The sequence below is a fragment of the Homo sapiens genome, chromosome 17 (assembly GCF_000001405.40).
Source record: "Homo sapiens chromosome 17, GRCh38.p14 Primary Assembly".
Classification (NCBI taxonomy): Eukaryota; Metazoa; Chordata; class Mammalia; order Primates; family Hominidae; genus Homo; species Homo sapiens.
The window spans coordinates 43,827,221-43,846,686 of NC_000017.11; the positions used below are offsets into that span (position 1 = coordinate 43,827,221).

A 19,466-nucleotide genomic window follows, 5' to 3' on the forward strand; every position below is an offset into this window, starting at 1 on the left:
GGTCAGGCTGGTCTCGAACTCCCGACCTCAGGTGATCCGCCCACCTCGGCCTCCCAAAATGCTGGGATTACAGGCGTGAGCCACTGTGCCTGGCTTTTTTTTTTTTTTCTTTTTTTTTTTTTTTTGAGACAGAGTCTCACTCTGTTGCCCAGACTGGAGTGCAGCAGCATGATCTTGGCTCACTGCAACCTCCGCCTCCCAGGTTTGTGTGTTTAGTAGAAATGGGGTTTCGCCATGTTGGCTAGGCTGGTCTGGAACTCCTGGCTTCAAGTGATCCGCCTGCCTCGGCCTCTTAAAGTGCTGGGATTACAGGTGTGCACCACCATGCCCAGCTGGCCTATATTTTCTATTAAAATTTCTACTGACTTGGGAAGGAGATGAGAATTCCAGCCACAACCCCAGAAAGCAAAGCAAATCCCAAACAGGTGACCTGATAGGAGGGAGGTAAGGGGACCTATTAGCAAAGGTGGAGGGCTCTGGAACAATGGCCATGATCGGGGCTGGGCCAGCTTTGCACTGCCGCCACTCACCGCTCCTGTCTGCTGCGCCTCCTCGCATGATCCTGGCCACCACAACAGCCCCTGAGTGCTCGTCCCGCCGGATGGTGGCACCCTGAACCCGAGACAGAAGAGACAGGTTCTTAAGCAGCAGCTCCAAACCTCAGACCCCTACTCTCTGGACCCAACACAGCCTCCCCAGTCCCTCCCTCTGACAGTCCAGAGAGATCAGTGGGGACCTTCCCAATGCTGAAGACAAAACAAAACCAACATCCCCCATTAATATAGCCCTGCACTGTACAGTTTACAAGGCACAATAATGCTGCAACATTTTAGATGAGGGACTGGGGCTCAGAGAAGTTAAATATCCTCAAGGTCACCCAGCTGGTAAAGGGGAAAGCTTTTTGTGATGCCAAATCCAGTAAGTTCTCCATCACATCTCTCTCATATCACAGTTCCTACCACTTGCAAAGACATTTAATAATGAGGATGACACGTGCCAGCTAATTCTCACCCTGCCTCTACCCAATCACAGGGTTACCGGGCCTTCTGCTGCTGCTGAGGGAAACCAATTATGCACCCCAGCCAGGGCTTCGGGACCAGGACTTGGCCCATGAAGCACAGCAGAGATGACACTTAGGATGAGAAAGGCACTAACGAGCCCTCGATTTCCTGCACCACACAGGCCGGACTGCAGCAGGACGGCAGAAAGCTTAAGAGCTAAGCTCTAGGGCTGGACAGCCTTGGGTGTGAACACAGTTCTGCCGTTTACAAAAAGCATGTGGACTTAACAAGGAAATCTCTTATCCTCTCCAAGCCTGTTTCCTGTGAGATGTGGGACAGCATTTAACTCACAGTGTTGTTGCAAGGATTCCACTCAAGGCACTTAGTACACAGTAAGCACTCAACATATGTTAACCACTTATTAGTGGCTGTAACTGCAAACACATTTGCACACTTATTGTTAACATCATCTGTGCCATCTATTTGAAGTACGTAAGATAATTATTGCTAGAAAGAGAGGCCATCAGCTAAGAACCTCAGGACTTCTAGCCCCCCAGAACTGAGAACTTTCCAGCATCGCTATCCATCATTTATTCAGCTCTGAACCGCCAGCACCCAATACAGAGCCTGGATAGGAGGGCTCACAATGTGTTTGCTAAATCAATGGATGGCCACTCCATTTTACAAGTGAGGAAACAGAGGCAGAGGAGAGATCCTCGTCTGTTTGCAGAAGAGGCTCGTCGGAGGTCATTTGGGGAAAGTTGGAAATAGAGAATGCCAGCTGTGGGATCCTCTGGAGCCAATCTCAATTCTCTGGGCTTCCACCACTTCTGAGCATCTCATAAACAACGCTGTCCCTTTGCTCGGTAAATCAATGCTGAACCAGGACCAAAGTGATAGCAGTCTGTCTGCTGGGGAGAGGAATGCCCTGTGCTTCCTCAACATTCAGAGCAGGCATTGTCACACGTTTTCTATAAGGGGCCACATGTAAATATTTGAGGCCAGCCACACAGTCTCTGTCACAACGACTCAACTCTGCCATCGCACTATAAAGGCAGCCACAGCCAATCTGTAAGTGAATGGGCCTGGTTGTGCTCCAAAAAAGCTTTATTTTAAAAAATAAGCTGTGGGCTGGTTTTGGCCCTTGGGCTGTAGTTTGTCCATTTCTGGCTTAAAGCATGATCAGGGTCACCCTGTACAATTGTGCAGGTTATTAACTACACAAAGGGTGTTGGCCACAGTTGAGAGGGGCTGTATCCACCTAGAGAAAGGGGTGCCCTGCACACAGAGGCACCACAGGGATGAGCAGCAGCGCAGGCAAAGCTGCCGTCACTCACTCTGAAGACTTCGGGGAGGATCTTGTCCAGTGTTCTGGGTGGGGGTGAGAGGCAGGGGAAGAGTGGGTTAGAGAGGGGCAGGCAGCAGCACCTACCAGGGGTTCCTTGTTCTTCACCAAGCGGACGATCTTCACCGATTCCTCATCAAAATCCTCATCGATATTGTCAGGCAGAGGCGGGAGAACGGGGTCAAAATTCTTCTGGGCAACCGTGTCATGTACCATGAGCACAGCCTGCCGGGAAAGCCAGAGAAAAGGAAGGCTGGCCCGCCGCTCACAGGGTCAGCAGGCCGCAGCTGGCCGGTGGTATGGAGGGTGGCAGACGCCATGCCAGAGAGACAACTGCCCAGACACTAGTGCTGAGGATCGCTCCCTCAGTCTCCACTCCTCAGCCTCATTAGGAGAGCTCCCTCCGCCCCCATCCCAGGAGACCCAGAGGCATGGCTGGGCAGGGGCTCTGTGTGACTACCCTCAGGTGCGGGGTGGACAGCAGCTGGAGCAGCTCCCTCTCATCACTGTGCACGGAGGCGGCCTGCAACTCCTCCATCACCTGCAGAGAATGAGACAGGCGCCACTGATGGCTAGAGGTGCCCCTGCCCCATATCTGCTGGGTCCTTCCTCTTTGGAAGGGCCCACCCAGCTGCAGCCCCCAGGGGCACACCAGACCCTCAACCACCCGACGACGATGATCCTGGGAACATCACACCAGGGGTCAGGAGCAGCTCTATGGGGCCATCCTCCAAGGAGCCACCGTTTTAAGCCCTACGTGCTTTCTGCTTTATGTGGATCTTCTCACTGAACCCTCGCAACCAACTTGATGCAGAGGGTCTTGTTACTTTGCCATTTTACAGATGAGAATCCTGAGACTCAAAGAGATTAAACATTTTGCCCGAAGTCACAGAGCTCATATACAGCACAGCTAGGATTTGAACCTGGGCTTATCTGGCTCTCAGATGCTATTTTATGAATGAGGAAATGGGAGCTCAGAGAGGTTGAGTGGCCTACTTAACATCACAGAGCTGGTGGGACAGGCAGCGCTGAGCCTGGGAGCCAGGCAATCTAATGTGCCCCTAATCACATTCCACAGTGGAGAAGGGCCCAGGGCTCTGCACCCACAAGCTGCACTCATCCCTCCCCAGGCCATCTCCTGGGGTTAGGTGAGTTTATTCAGGAACTGATCTTAGTAATCAACCAGAATGGGTTTTCCCCAACCACGCAACATAGACGACTAGGTCCACAAGAAATTAAGAAGCGTTCCTTTAAAAAATGAGAAGCCTGAGCCAGTATGCGGGGACACACTGTAGGTCCCTTGACTTCAGGAAAGCACAGACATAATGTCTTATTGACCTATTCAAATCACCAGTCCTCAGGGCAGTTTGGGAACTGCTGAGCCAATCCAATGCTCTCATTTACAGCAGAGGAAGCAGACTTGCTAAAGAACACACAGTAAGTGGGCAGCTCCATGTCACAGTGTCTCCCAGCCCAGTCCAAGGCTCACGGGTTCCTCCCTACCTTTCGGGGAACCCAGAGAGAGGAAGAGAAGGAGGAGGACAAGGGAAGAAAACACCTCTTCACCTTTGGGCTCCTGATTCCCGGTGTCCCCACACTAAGCAAGCGAGGCAAGATGAAGGAGCCCTACAGGGTGGGGAGTGGGGCAGACACTGTAAGGAGAAACCTGGGGCTTACGTCCTCAGCGAGGGCCACAGCGCTGTGCAGAACTGGGGTTGGACTTTGCCTTTCATAATAGCGAAGCTTCTCATGAATCTGCAAAGACAGAGTATTTCAGATGCACCCTGGACACCACACATCCCACCCACGGCTGTGGGGACATTTGGGGCAGCAGACTGGGCCACTGACAGGGCACCATAAGAGAAAGTCCTGTGTAGTGGGCAAGTGAAGGCCTTCCTGGGGCAGGGAGATGACTAGGATGACCTCAGACGGCCACAGACAGCTAGAAAGACCTCTAGACACCCTTCCACGCAGGATGACGTGGGACTTCACCTTCATTAAGTAACTGAGGCTTTTTTCACTGAAAACATCCCTCAGGAAGCCCATCTCCTCCTTGTGGTTGGAGTCAGGTCTGAGCTGGGAGGTCAGCAGGGCCAGGGTTTCATGCAAACCTGGGGAGAGGTGAGAAAAACAAAGGATAGCAAACGCAGTGGGTGCTCCCTGCCCCCGAGGAGCCCGAGTGGGGCCTCAAACAGCACTTCAGTCCTGCCGTGAGGACATTCTCTCCCCAGGCTCTCACTGCCAGGGCCTGGAGGCTGCCAGGCAGGCTCTTGTCTTCAGGACTGTGGCAGGTCCAGCCGGGGGGAGGTACTTACCAGAGTCCTCCGATAGCACTGGCATGCTGGCGTTGTCACCTCCCGACCTCTCCCTGCAGATTCTGGGAGAAGGGGGTGGAGGTGGGTATTGAAGCTCCATCAAGCATATTTATTGAACAAACTGACTACACATCTACTGTGTTCTCTGAGACCAGGCTGTGGACAGAGAGGATGGGAACAAATAACTCTGCTTACTTTTTTCAGAGAGGAAGGAAATAAAGCTAAGATGTGCTGAGTGTCCTCGATGTGCCAAGCATTGTGTGGGGTGATTTCTATGATAAACTTTTTGTCTGCACAAAGTCCTGAGAAATGACTGCGAATGTTCCCATTTTATTGATGAAGAAACAGCGGCGTGGAAGCTTTCAGTAAGCTGTGGGTCAAAATCCATATTCAAGCAGGCTCTTCCAGGCTGGCCTTGGAGGTGCCAAGTGACCCTGCCTGACAGTGTCAGCTGTCCTCCGCAGCGCGCCCCCTCCACTGCAACCTTCTAAGAGCCCTGGCTCAAGTCTCCTGCTGGGACACACCTTCCACAACTACCTGGCTGGGCCTACAAGCCCCCTGTCCCCGACCCCCCAAGACCCAACCCAAAGGGAGCCTCCAGACTGGAGTGCAGAGAGGAGGGGGGGAAATGGGAGTCGGGCTTCCACTATGCAGGAGGGGGGACCCCTATCTCATGAGGCCCTCCAAAGGTGCTCTGCAGCACGTGGACCTCAAAAAGTCCTCCTTAGGAAGAGGAGAAGGAGAGTCATGACTGATTCATTCCGCAAACATGGAGCCAGCCCGCAGCGCCGAGCCCCGGTGCCACTAAGAGGCGTAAGAGCGGCCCCGGGCCCTCCAGCCTCCGCCCCGCCCCGCCCCGCCACGCCACGCCGGACTCACCCTCGGGCTGCTCCCCGCAGGAGGCCGAGCACCGACTCCCGCTCGCTCTCCGAAGGAACCTGTGGGAGAACAAGGAGCGCACTGGGCGCAGGAGCAGCGACCCCGGGGGACCTCGGAGGGCGGTCCCGGAGGACGCGGAGCAGCAGGGAGCGGGGGGCGCGCGGCGGGGCGGGCGCGGGAAGAGGGAGGCGGGGGCCGAGGGGCGGGGTTGAGACTCCCGCGGTGGGCTCGGTGGGCCGCGAGGCTGTCCGGGAGCACGGGAGGAGGGTCTCGGCCCGGCCTCCCGCCCCTCCCGCCGCGGCGCCCAGCTCCCTCGTCCGTTCCCCTCGCGGCCTCCTACCTCGTCGCGCCGGGATGTGTGCTCCGCGAACGGGAGCCGCGCGAGTGCCCAGAGCCTGGGCCGCCGCTGGCTCCGCCTTCCCGGACCCCTCCCTGCGGCTGCCGCGCCGGGCGGGGGTGGCGGAGCCTGAGGAGGCGCGGCGCGGGGAGGAGGCGCGGCGCGGGGAGGAGGCGGGGGAGGAGCGGAGGCCGCCCTCCGCGTCTGGCACCGCCGCACCCTCCGGGCCGGGCTCCGCTAGCCGGCGTCGTACCCGCTCCCGCTCTCCCGCTCCCTGAGTCCCCTGCCTGTGTCCCCCCGCACCCTGGCACACAGCCAGACTTCCCTTCCGCCCGCGCAACCCACCCTCCGCGAGTGGAGGGGTGGACACCTGCTCAACAGAGAATTCGATTTTGCAAACATTTATTGAGCGCCCTCCAGGTGCCAGGCGCTGTGCCAGGGGCCGGGGCTTCAAAGACGACCAAGGCACAGATCCTGGGTTTGAAGATCTCCAGAGGTGGGGCGGGGGGCCGGTCGGATGCGAGGGCAACTCGCTGTAACAATGCAACGCGCTGGGAAAGATTTATCGGTGCACGCTGCCCTGGGGACGCGGAGCAGGGGAGGAGAAGTCAGGCTGGAGAGGAGGGGGACTCCATTCTGCCCGGCTGCAGGGGAGTGAGGCTACATAGCAGAGGCGAGCAGCATCCAGGGGCTTTACTGGAAAAAGAGCTCTGAAATGGCCATGACGATAACTGACTTATATTGTGCTGTCTCCATGCCCAGGTACTCCTCAGATCACTTCCCTTCACAGTAGTTCCTGATATCAAGACCATTCTTATTTTGGTTCTGCAATTGAGGAAACTGAGGTTCCTGGTGAAAGAATGTGTATAGGGGAGAGCATAGGAACTGCTGGGTGAGTGAGCAGGTGGTTGTGGGTATTAAAAGGTGAGGAGTGGGTGAGTGAGTGGGCCCCCTTCCCTCAATCCCAGCAGCAAAGAACGGCACAGCACATGTCAGGAGAGGTGGACCCAGAGGTTAAGTCTGGAAGTAAATCTAGCCCTGCACAGTAACCAGGGAAAATGGGTTGGCAGGCCCCACAGGCTGTAGTGCATGGGGAGGCTGTGAGAGGCAGCAAATGTCATGATGATGTTTCCCCTCATTCCTCAAAAATTATCCTCATTCCTCAAGAAATATCTACACTATTGCTCCTCAAAATGTAACGTGCCTGAGACTCACTAGGGGGTTGTGTAATGCTGGAGTGGTGCCAGATTCTGAATTTCTGACAAGCTCCCAGGTGATGTGACGCCACTGGTCTGCAGACCACACTTTTTGAGTGGAGAGAGACTGCATGAGACACATTCTTAGCTGCAATGTTTACTGTTGGAAAAATAATGAGAACCATCTGATCCATCTGATATGGGTCAAATGATTTTGGACAAGAACACCAGGAAGTGGTGTTGGAACAAGTAGATATTTATGTGCCTGAAGGGACCCAATCCCTACCTCACACCATATTCAAAACGCAATTTAAGAGAGATCATTGGCCTAAACATAAAGCAAATCGATAAAGCTACTAGAATAAAACAGGAGGGTATCTTTTAAATCTTGGGGTATGCAAAGATTTCCTAGAAAGGATACAAAAAAGCCAGGCATGGTGGCATGAGCCTGTATCCCACATACTCAGGAGGCTGAGGCAGGCAAATTGCTTGAGCCCAAGAGTTCAAGGCTGCAGTGAACTATGATCAGTCCACTGCGCTTCAGCTTGGGTGACAAAGAGACACCGTTTCTAAAAAAAGAAAAAATTTTTAAAAAAAGCATGGACCCTGAAAACAATTGATAAATGGACCTCATCAAAATTTAAAACTCCTGCTCATCAAAAAACACTATTGGCCAGGTGCAGTGGCTCATGCCTGTAATCCCAGCACTTTGGGAAGCCAAGGTGGGTGGATCATCTGAGGTCAGGATATTGAGACCATCCTGGCTAACACAGTGAAACCCCATCTCTACTAAAAATACAAAAAATTAGCCAGGCATGGTGGCACACACCTGTGTCCGTTCCAGCTACTCAGGAGGCTGAGGCAGGAGAATTGCTTGAACCCGGGAGGCAGAGGTTGCAGTGAGCCAAGATCAGGCCACTGCACTCCAGCCTGGGTGACAGAGTGAGACTCCATCTCAAAAAAAAAAAAAAAAAAGACCGGGCGCAGTGGCTCACGTCTGTAATCCTAGCACTTTGGGAGGTCAAGGCGGGCAGATCACGAGGTCAGGAGATGGAGACCATTCTGGCTAACATGGTTAAACCCCGTCTCTACTAAAAATACCAAAAATTAGCCGGGTGTGGTGGCGGAGGTTGCAGGGAGTGGAGATCGCGCCACTGCACTCCAGCCTGGGCCACAGGGTGAGGCTCCGTCTCAAAACAAAACAAAACAAAACAAAACAAAACAAAACAAAACAAAACACTATTAAGAAAATAGGACCAGGGACCAGGTGCAGTGGCCCACACCTGTAATCCCTTCAAGCACTTTAAGAGTTCAAGGCGGGTGAATGGCTTGAGCCCAGGAGTTCGAGACCAGCCTGGGCAACACGGCAAAACCCAGTCGGTATCTACTAAAATTACAAAAACTAGCCAGGCATGTTGGCTTGTGCCAGTAGTCCCAGCTGCTCAGGAGACTGAGGCAGGAGGATCACTTGAGCCTGGGAAGCAGAGGTTACAGTGAGCCATGATTGTGACACTGCACTCCAGGCTGGGTGACAGAGTAAGACCCTGTCTCAAAAAAAAAAAAAGAAAAGAAAAGAAAAAAGAAAGAAAAGGAAAGGAAAAGAAAAGAGGCAAGCCACAGACTGGGAGACTAGGAAGAAATATATCTGACAAAGAGATTGTATTCAGAATAAAGAACTCCTGTAACTCAATAAAAAGACAAACCACCCAATCAAAAAACAGGCAAAAGATATGAACATGCACTTCACAAAAGAAGATATACAAATAACCAATAAGCATATGAGAAAGCACTCATCCAACATCATTTGTCATCAGGGAAATGCAAATTAAAACCTGTCATAGTCAGTTCCTGCTGCTATAACAAAATACCACAGTAATTTATAAGAAGTAATAGTAATTTATTGCTTACAGTTCTAGAGGCCGGAAAGTCCAAGATCAAGGGGCCAGCTGGTTCAGTGTCTGGTGAGGGCCTGTTCCTCACTGATGGCACTGGATAGGTATCCTCACATGGTGGAAGAGAAAGACAGGCATAGGCCAGGCGCGGTGGCTCACGCCTGTAATCCCAGCACCTTGGGAGGCTGAGGCAGGTGGATCACAAGGTCAAGAGATCAAGACCATCCTGGCCAGCATGGCAAAACCCCGTCTCTACTAAAAATACAAAAAAATAGCCAGGCGTGGTGGCAGGCACCTGTAGTCCCAGCTACTTGGGAGGCTGAGGCAGGAGAATGGCGTGAACCCGGAAGGCAGAGCTTGCAGTGAGCTGAGATCGCGCCACTGCACTCCAGCCTGGGCGACAGAGCGAGACTCCATCTCAAAAAAAAAAAAAGAAAGAAAGAAAGACGGGCATAAAGGGATGAACGCTGTGTCCTCATGTGGCAGTAGGGGCCAAAGGGACTAGGGTGCTCCCTTCAAGTTCTCTTATAAGGGCATTAATCCCATTCAAGTGTCCATCAAGAAGTGAATGGATAAATATTCATTCACTTGTGGTATATCCATACAATGGCATATTTACTCACCAATAAAAAGAAACAAATTACAAGAAAGAAATGATGAAAAAATTTAAGATGGCAGAGTATACAATTGATATTAAAAATTTATGACTTTCCGGCCAGGCACGGTGGCTCACGCCTGTAATCCCAGCACTTTGGGAGGCCGAGGCGGGCAGATCACAAGGTCAGGAGATCGAGACCATCCTGGCCAACATAGTGAAACTCCGTCTCTACTAAAAATACAAAAATTAGCTGGGCTTGGTGGCACGTGCCTGTAATCCCAGCTACTCAGGAGGCTGAGGCAGGAGAATAGCTTGAACCAGGGAGTCAGAGGTTGCAGTGAGCCGAGATCGCACCACTGCACTCCAGCCTGGTGACAGAGCGAGACTCTGTCTTAAAAACAAACAAACAAACAAAAAAAACATTATGACTTTCCTGTGGACAAAAATAATTATTAAGTATAATGAAAGAAAAAATCCAAACTAAGATATCAAGAAAGATTAAATACCAATTTATAAACTTAATAGGAAAAATGAAAGACCTATTGATATTTGGGAGAAAAAAACTTTAAAATTCTAGTGAAGGACATAAAAGATAAAATGTACCTCAAATGGCTAGGGAAAGAACAGTTCAATAGTGCAATTATATTAATTCATTCTGAAATAATCTTTATACCCAATGCAATTCCAATTAAAATATAAGAAGTATTTTTCACAGAGAATTTATTAAATGCTACCACAATTCATCAGGAAAAATAAACATTGGTGAATAATAGGAAAGTTCTGGGAAAAAAAGAGTTATGGGACCAAGGGAGGTGGGATTTAAAAATATGAAAACAATTTTTAAAGTTTAGTACTGAGGCTATAGTCCCAGGACTCTGGGAGGCCGAAGCAGGTAGATCACTTGAGCCCAGGAGTTCAAGAACAGCCTGGGCAACATGGCAAAACCCCATCTCTACAAAAAATGCAAAAATTATCTGGGTGTAGTGGTGCTCACCTGTAGTCCCAGATGCTCAGGAGGCTGAAGCAGAATTGCCTGAACCCAGGAGTTCGAGGCTGCAGTGAGCCATGACCACACCACTGCACTCAAGTCTGGGTGACACAGCAAGACCCTGTCTCAAAAAAAATGAATTAATAAAGTTTAGTACTAAAGAGGCAATCAACAGCTAGACAAATAGAACAGAATTGAAAGAACAGAAATAGTCCTCATGTATACTGTCTTTTAATATTTGAGAAAGGTGACATTTAAGTGGAAGGAGAGGAATTTTTTTTTTTTTTTAATGTGGGGACAGGCCAGGTGCAGTGGCTCACACCTGTAATCGCAGCAGTTTGGGAGGCTGAGGCGGGAGGATCTCTTGAGCCCAGGAATTCAAGACCAGCTTGGGCAACATAGCAAGACCTGTCTCTACTAAAAATAAAAAAATTAAAAAAAATTGATGCATGTGCAAGTAGACCCAGCTACTCAGGAGGCTGAGGTGGGAGGATTGCTTGAGCTCAGCAGATAGAGGTTGCAGTGAGCCGTGATCATGCCACTGCACTCCAGCTCGGGCATCAGAGCAAGACCCTGTCTCAAAATAAAATAAGGTATGGCGACAATTACAATAGCTACTCTTTATGGGAAAAAAAAAGAGAGAGGAAAAAAGGCTGGGCGCAGTGGTTCATGCCTGTAATCCCAGCACTTCGGTAGGTGGAGGCGGGCAGATCACCTGCCCTCCTCTGCAAGATTATAAAAATAAATTTACTGAGAAAATATTTTGATGTGAGAAGTGAGGTAGGGATACAGCTTTCTTTCGCTTTTGTTTTGAGACGGGGTCTTGCTCTGCGGCCAGGCGGGAGTGCAGTGGCGAGATCTCGTCTCACTGCAAGCTCCGCCTCCCGGGTTCAAGTGATTCTCCTGCCTCAGCCTCCTGAGTAGCTAGGATTACAGGCACCCGCCACCACACCCAGCTAATGTTGTTGTTGTTGTTGTTGTTGTTGTTGTTGTTGTTTGAGACGGAGTCTCGCTCTGTCACCCAGGCTGGAGTGCAGTGGTGCGATCTCGGCTCACTGCAAGCTCCGCCTCCCGGGTTCACGCCATTCTCCTGCCTCAGCCTCCCGAGTAGCTGGGACTACAGGTGCCTGCCACCACGCCAGGCTAATTTTTTGTATTTTTAGTAGAGACGGGATTTCACCGTGTTAGCCAGGATGGTCTCGATCTCTTGACCTCGTGATCCGCCCGCTTTGGCCTCCCAAAGTGCTGGGATTACAAGCATGAGCCACCGCGCCCGGCTGCAGTGAGGGAAACATTTCTAAGTAAATTCCAAATCCAAATCTATAAAGGAAAAGGTGGATATGTGTGATTTAAAAAAGGGTAAACATTTTTATAGGTAAAAATATTATTTGCAACATATGATATCATATGCAATATGATAAAGTTAAATTCCTCAATTTAAAAGAGTTTACATAAATGAGAAAAGATGAAAAAATTTTAAACGGTCAAAGAAAATAGTCTAATACAAAAAATACATAGCCAATAAACACAGAAAACTGATGCTAGATCTCCTGTTTAAAAAAAAAAAAAAAGGAAAAAAAATCCAAAAGATGCACAACCTCACTCATAATCGAAGAATTCTTAGCCAAAATAGGAGGCAATGTCCCTTGTTAAGACAAAAATGTTTAAGTCTGTTGACATCCAGTGCTATCAAGGATGTGGGGAAAAGACACATTTACACATTTGGAAGGAATATTATTTGGTGCAAACTTTCTGGGACACGATCTGGTAATATTTGTTAAAATATTATATGTACATGTCCTTTAGTCCAGAGGATATTTGGGCAAGCAGAATGGAAGAAAAGAGAAGCAGAGAGAGATGTTTAGGTGGATGAGAGCTTGGAGCAGGAGTGCTGGGAGAGGCTGCATCATAGGACAGGGCAGGTGCAGCCAGGGCGGAGTTGGCCCAGATGGCCGGAAGCTCAGGGCAGGAGTCGCCTCACCCAGCCAGGGCTCGGTCAAGGTGCTCGTTTAGAGCAGCTGCACAGGGAACAGGAAGATGAGCTCAATGCCAGAGGAATGAATGACTTTGGGTCCATCTGGACAGGGAGAAGAGACTTTACCAAGCATGCTCTGGAAAAAAAGAGAATGCCAACGATCCTTGAAGAGGTGACAGAGAGAATCTGCTTCAGGCTACAGGTGTGCATTGTCATTGCATTTGGCATTCAGCCCAGACACCATAGGGAACCAGAAATAATTCCAAGAGGAGCAATGGGCTAGTGCCCAGGCATGCAGCAAGAGGGCAAGTCAGAAGCGGGTGGAGAAAGGGCAGGCTCAGCTCCATTTACTTCTCAATGAGAAGGGAAATTACTGTACTGGGGTTTTGGGGTTTTTTTGTTTTGTTTTGTTTTTTGAGATTTCTGATAACTTTTCCTATTGTTTGTGGCTTTTGTTACCTATTTCTCTTATTTTTATTTTTGTTTTATTTTTTTGAGACAGAGTATTGCTCTGTCACCCAGGCTGGAATGCAATGGCACGATCTCAGCTCATTACAACCTCCGCCTCCCGGGTTCAAGCGATCCTCCAGCCTCAGCCTCCCAAGTTGCTGGGACTACAGGCATGCGCCACCATTCCCAGCCAGTCCTAGAATTCTTATGTTGTGCTTTTTTCAAATCTGCTGTCACTTTTTGTTCTTTCCAGTTCCCTGCCAAAAATGTCAAGCTTGACTTTTACCTCCTTGAGCACAGTAAGAATAGTTGTGTTAAGGCTGATCCTGCTATTTACAGTATATGGAGTCCCCACGGGTCTGTTTTGTTGTTTCTGCATATTCTTGCTTATTGAGTCTTCTCATAGATTTGGTTATCTTTGATTATATATTAGATGGTATTTGAAAAAACTACTTGTAAAAATGATCAGCTTAGGCTGATGCTATTTTCCTCCAGAAAGGATTTTTCACTAATATCTTTAAGGTACCCGAGGGTAGGGATGGGGAAGGTGCTGCCAGACAAGAGCCACTTTTAATTCAAGTTCAAAGCTTGAAGTTTCCTGGGACACCTAAATGACAGAAAGCTGGGTGGAAGTCCATGGTGGCCTGGTTTGTACAGCCTTTTGGGGTCCCAGCCTAATGTGACCAAAAATATGCCAGATTCCATTCCCTGCCCCCAGAGGGCCCTAGACTCCTAGTTCATCCTCTTCGCTGCTGCTTTGGAATCAGTAAATGCCCACAGGGAAAACAAGCACATACACTGAGCTTATCTTTCTGGCTTCCTGTCTACTTGCATGCAGACTTATGCCTGGGAACCCCCATGCTCTTTTTAGCTTTTCACTGCTTTTTTTTTTTTTTTAAGACAGTCTCGCTCTGTCACCCAGGCTGGAGTGCAGTGACATGCTCACGGCTGACTGCAGCCTCGACCCCTCAGGCTCAAGTGATCCTCCCACCTCAGCCTCCCCAGTATACTTTCTTTTTTCTTAATAAACTTTATATTTTGGAATAATTTTAGATTTACAGAAAAGTTGCAAAGATAGTACAGAGAGTTCCTGAACACCCTTTCCCCTGTTTTCTCTAATGTTAGCATCTTACATAATCATGATACATTTGTCAAAACTAAGACATGAACATTGGAATGTTATTATTAAGGAAATTCCAGACTTTATTAATCTTTCACTAGTTTTTCCACTAATATCCTTTCTCTGTTCTGGGATCCAGTCCAAGATAACACATTGCAGTTAGCCTTCAAAGTTTCTGAGAAGATTTGAAATTTACCTATCAGTAAACGTGGGCATTTACTGATTGAGCTCCTGAGGCATTACCAGTCTCCCATTACTGCCCTCCTCCATCATTTTCCCTGTCATTCCCCGAAGTAATTGGTTAACATAAAAAATTTGAAAGGGGCCGGGTGCGGTGGCTCACACCTGTAATCCCAGCACTTTGGGAGACCGAAGCAGGCAGATCATTTGAGGTCAGGAGTTTGAGACCAGCTTGGCCAACATGGTGAAACCCTGTCTCTACTAAAAATACCAGAAAATGAGCTGGGCATGGTGGCACGTGCCTGTAATTCCAGCTACTCAGGAGGCTGAGGCACGAGAATCGCTTGGACCCAGGAGGTGGAGGTTGCAGTGAGCCGAGATCGCGCCTGCTGTCTCAAAAAAAAAAAAAAAAAAAAAAAAAAATTGAAAGGGAGTTTTCAGATTTGTTTGATGGAGAAAGTTGAAAAATCGAGTTTGCAACCAGCTAGGGTAGGGAAGCTGCGAGGAGACTAGAGGATGAATGTATGACGGAAAACAAAAAGCATGGTGGTGGTCTACACTGTGCTACAGCAACTAGCAAACTGCAAGATCTCCGTGGCTAAACACAGAAAAGTCTATCTCTTGCTCATTCCAAGTCCGCCGCACGCTTGGTGGCTGTCCAGGGCAGCTGTCTTCCAAGTGGTAGCTCAGGAATCCAAATCTTCCTGTCTTGTGGCTCATTTGTCTTTGCCGGGGACACGTCTTCCCCACTCCTGATGTTTCCTTCCATGAGCAGAGAACCCCACTGGCACAAAACTCTTAGTCTCTCTCCACGCCTCTCTCTACGCCTCTCCACACCTCTCTCTACGCCTCTCCATGCCTCTCCACGCCTCTCTCCACGCCTCTCCACGCCTCTCTCCACGCCTCTCCACGCCTCTCTCTACGCCTCTCCACGCCTCTCCACGCCTCTCTCCACGCCTCTCCACGCCTCTCCACGCCTCTCCCCGCCTCTCTCCACGCCTCTCCACGCCTCTCTCTACGCCTCTCCACCCCTCTCTCCACGCCTCTCCACGCCTCTCTCCACGCCTCTCCACGCCTCTCTCCACGCCTCTCCACGCCTCTCTCCACGCCTCTCCACGCCTCTCCACGCCTCTCTCCACGCCTCTCCACGCCTCTCTCCACGCCTCTCCCCGCCTCTCTCCACGCCTCTCCACGCCTCTCTCCACGCCTCTCCACGCCTCTCTCCACGCCTCTCTCCACGCCTCTCCACGCCTCTCTCCACGCCTCTCCACGCCTCTCTCCACGCCTCTCCACGCCTCTCTCCACGCCTCTCCACGCCTCTCTCCACGCCTCTCCACGCCTCTCTCTACACCTCTCCACGCCTTTCTCCATGCCTCTGCTGATTTGATTGATGAATGTTGAAGGAGGAACAAGGCGTGTGTAACCCGGCTCTCTTCTTCCTTTTCTCTGGTGAGCTGGCCCACCTGCAAAAAGTGTGTGTTCTAAACTGATACACCACACCTCACCCTGAGTATTACGAGGATGGCCCAGCTCCACTGAGGAAAGAAGGACGCAGTTTTACCTGATTCTGGGGTTCAGCATTAGGTTCTGCCCACTGTCCTGTTTCCAAAACCGTGTTACTATGCCTGCATCAAGCTTATCCACCCGCGGCCCACGGGCTGCATGCAGCCAGGATGGCTTTAAATGAAGCCCCAAACAAACTCGTAAGCTTTCTTAAAACATTATGAGATTATTTTTTTAACTCATCAGCTATCACTGGTGTTACTGTATTTTATGTGTGGTCCAAGACAATTCTTCTTCTTGGCCCAGGGAAGCCAAAAGATGGAACACCCTGACCTACATAAACAATAAACATAACTTACACAAAAGTGCACTTATTTGTTCCACAGTTATTCATCATCTAAGACAGCAGTTCTCAACCCAGGGTATTTTTGCCTCTCAGTGGGATGTTTGACAATGCCTGGAGGCTTTTTTTTTTTTTTTTTTTTTGAGACAGAGTCTTGCTCTGTCACCCAGGCTGGAGTGCAGTGGCGTGATCTCAGCTGACTGCAAGCTCCACCTCCCGGGTTCACGCCATTCTCCTGCCTCAGCCTCCCGAGTAGCTGGGACTACAGGTGCCCGCCACCATGCCCAGCTAATTTTTTTGTATTTTATTTTTTTAGAGACGGGGTTTCACCGTGTTAGCCAGGATGGTCTCGATCTCCTGACCTTGTGATCCGCCCACCCCGGCCTCCCAAAGTGCTGGGATTACAGGCGTGAGCCACTGCGCCCGGCCTTTTTTTTTTTTTTTTTTTTTTTGAGACAAGGTCTCACTCCCATCACCCAGGCTGGCGTGCAGTGATGGGATCTCGACTCACTACAGCCTCGACCTCCCATGCTCAGGTGATTCTGTCACCTCAGCCTGTGTGTAGCTGGGACCACAGGTGCACACTGCCATGCTTGGCTAATTTTCTGTATTTTTTGCAGAGACGGGGTTTTGTCATGTTGCCCAGGCTGGTCTCAAACTCCTGGGCTCAAGTGATCCACTCACCTTGGCCTCCCAAAGTGCTGGGATTATAAGCATGAGCCACCTCACCCAGCCTGGAGACATTTTTGATTATCACAACTGGGAAGGGACTACTGGCATCTAGGGGGTACAGCTGGAGATGCTGCTAAACATCCTATAATTCACAGGACAGTCTCCCACAACAAAGAATTATCTAACTTAAAATGTCAACAGTACTGAGGTTGGGGAAACCTTGATCTAAGAGGAGCAAGTGACCCTCTTGGAGCAGCTGAAGTGATTTAGTCCAAGTCCAAACCGAGAGGAATTGGACCAGGGTGGCCATCGAAGACCAAGCAGCTCAGTCCCCTCATCCCTGCCACTGTACCTCTTGGGCACACAGAGGCCTTCCTGAGGATGTGATGAGGCTGTCACGAGCCCAGTGACCTGTCCAGGAGCCCTTGTGCCTCATTGCCTCTCCCAGGTGCAGTGATGGTGGGGCACCTCCCCATGCTTCTGGTGGGAAGCAGGACAAAAATATCCTCTCTTCTCAGATCCCCAGCCCACCACGGAGGTCTGTCTGTTGGCCCCATCTACCCCAGAGTGTGGCCTAAGGTGGAACTAGGTGCGAGGCTCATGCCAGCACCTCACTTTCACCCTTCTCCCCAGCCCTTGCTCCACTTCCCAGTCTGGTGAATCTGTTTCTAATGGAGTTCTTGAGCCAGCCTCCTGGGCTAGGTGTGGGGCTGGGAAATGGAGGGGAAGGACCTTCAAATATGCAGGAAGAGGGTAGGGATCCACTCAACATGCTCTTTATATAAATAAACATTTAATAACACCTCGCTTACTCTCCTAAAATGACAATCATAAATAATATGCCTTCACAAGCACTTACTTCTTTAAAATCACACTATAGTGCCTGAGCTATACTAGGGAGAAAAAATAAAAGGAAAGCAATTTATAACCAAATAACACATATTTCAATCTGTCAGTGCTCAGGTCCCATGACACTAGAAAGCATAATGAAGTGTCAGATGCTCGTCCTTGCATATAATAAATAAGTCTGAATTTAAGAAATGTAGAGGATCAGAAATTATTCTGTGTAAGGACAAAAATAAATAAATAGAAGAGCAAAGATATGCTATCAAATGCTAGAATAAGTATTACTTTAAGGCCGGGCATGGTGGCTCGTGCCTGTAATCCCAGCACTTTGGGAGGCCGACGTGGGAGGATCGCATGAAGCCAGGAGTTTGAGAAAAGCCTGACAACATAACAAGACCCTGTCTCTACTAAAAATAAAAAATTAGCCAGGCAACAGTGGTGCACGCCTGTAGTGCCAGCTACTTGGGAGGCTGAGGTGGGAGGATCACTTCAGCCTGGGAGTTTGAGGCTGCAGTGAGCTGTGATGGCGCCACTGCACTCCAGTTTGGGCAACAAGAGTGAGACCTGTCTCAAAAATAAGTAAATAAACAAATACTTTTTTTTCTTTTTTTAGATAGAATTTCACTCTTGTTGCCTAGGCTGGAGTGCAATGGTGTGATCTCAGCTCACCACAACCTCCACCTTCTGGGTTCAAGCGATTCTCCTGCCTCAGCCTCCCTGAGTAGCTGGGATTACAGGCATACACCACCATGCCTGGCTAATTTTATATTTTTAGTAGAGACTGGGTTTCTCCATGTTGGTCAGGCTGGTCTCAAACTCCCGACTTCAGGTGATCCACCCGCCTCAGCCTCCCAAAGTGCTGGGATGACAGGCGTGAGCCACCATGCTGGGCCATAAATATTTTTTAATCTGTGTTTTTTTAAAACTGCAAAAACAGATCACCTTTTGTAGTCTGTACATGTAAAAGAGAGTCAGGGGCTGAGATCATGGTAACAGTTTTCCCCACCGTGAACAGCTGGCCCTGCCCACTAAATGGCAGCAGTGCTTCGCAGTCATTGTGAAATTAAAACACTTCTCCCCACGTTACTAGACTCACACACACACAATCTTCCCTCCCAGAACCACTGAGTTAATGCTTCAGATATTAACCTGACAAGTCAGTAAAATTCCAACTGAACATTTGGAAGGATATATGCCAAAATATTAATGGTGCTTTTCTAAAGCAGAAGGGGAATTACAAGAAGCACTCCCTTTTTTCTTTCTTTCCTTTTTACGTTCTGTATTGTGTAAAATTTTGCTTACAACCTGTATGAACTTTGCAACCAAACCAAAAAAAAAGTCATTTTTGAAGCCAGTGTGTCAGAGCTCCCAGTAGTGTACATGTTTGTTTTGGTCCTTTCAAGGAGGATTCAAGTCTGCGATGGAGAAACCACCAATTCACTTTTTCAAATGCCAAAACAACTCCGCAGGCGTGGAGGAGACCTATCTTGCAGCGCTGTAGGCCCAAGGCACCAGGGAATCCGGTCCAGCTCAGCCCTACAGCTTTGCTCAGCCCCGTCTGCACCGCCGCCCCGTGGCCAAGGGCAGTACTGCGTCCTCCAAAAGGCAAGGGCGGAGGAGGGGCCAGGGGCCTTGCCCCAGGGGCAAGCTTCTTTCTGTCCCACTGACCACATGGCAGTCTGGTGAAGTTTATGGACCCCTCTCTCAGTATAATGGCGGGTAAATATATAAATAAAATATATATGCTGGAAAGAAAACTAATACTGGTGAGATGATTCTTAAAACTCTTTATAAATGTGTAATATAATAATAGCCGTTTCATTATT

At 49.6% G+C, this 19,466-nt stretch overlaps 1 protein-coding gene and 1 long non-coding RNA gene across 20 annotated transcripts in view, besides 2 other annotated features; one reads left to right on the forward strand and one right to left on the reverse strand.

Annotated features, from left to right (window-relative positions):
• The window catches only part of MPP3 (MAGUK p55 scaffold protein 3), a 32,336-nt gene extending 26,410 nt beyond the window's left edge, over positions 1-5,926 (reverse strand). For 11 of the 18 annotated variants that reach the window (NR_148345.2, NR_003562.4, NR_148342.2 and 8 more), the window contains exons 1-8: positions 5,881-5,926; positions 5,541-5,599; positions 4,662-4,723; positions 4,339-4,457; positions 4,024-4,101; positions 2,807-2,887; positions 2,434-2,571; positions 531-612 (exon numbers count right to left, since the gene is read on the reverse strand). Coding sequence is in view for 12 of the 18 variants with exons in the window: in NM_001932.6 (NP_001923.2) it covers positions 531-612; positions 2,434-2,571; positions 2,807-2,887; positions 4,024-4,101; positions 4,339-4,457; positions 4,662-4,686 (523 nt within the window). In the remaining 6 variants the exon portion in view is untranslated. Of the gene's footprint in view, positions 1-530; positions 613-2,433; positions 2,572-2,806; positions 2,912-4,023; positions 4,102-4,338; positions 4,458-4,661; positions 4,818-4,856; positions 5,032-5,540; positions 5,600-5,880 lie in introns of all 18 variants that reach the window. The other 7 variants (NR_148344.2, NM_001330233.2, XM_047436102.1 and 4 more) reach the window with 3 other exon arrangements.
• Positions 5,886-5,935: a silencer, noted in NCBI's record as "silent region_8568". NCBI's record gives its function as "represses an Ori minimal core promoter by ATAC-STARR-seq in GM12878 lymphoblastoid cells {active_cell/tissue: GM12878}" and the evidence as "EXISTENCE:reporter gene assay evidence [ECO:0000049][PMID:35858748]".
• Positions 5,956-6,055: a silencer, noted in NCBI's record as "silent region_8569". NCBI's record gives its function as "represses an Ori minimal core promoter by ATAC-STARR-seq in GM12878 lymphoblastoid cells {active_cell/tissue: GM12878}" and the evidence as "EXISTENCE:reporter gene assay evidence [ECO:0000049][PMID:35858748]".
• Positions 6,485-19,397, forward strand: LOC107984979 (uncharacterized). Of its 2 annotated transcripts, XR_001753057.2 has the most exons (3): positions 6,485-6,769; positions 12,637-12,728; positions 19,044-19,255. It is a non-coding gene; the product is annotated as an uncharacterized LOC107984979 (long non-coding RNA). The 2 variants fall into 2 exon arrangements; XR_007065765.1 differs by lacking the exon at positions 6,485-6,769 and having other exon boundaries at positions 12,502-12,728; positions 19,044-19,397.
• Positions 19,398-19,466: the final 69 nt, after the last annotated feature.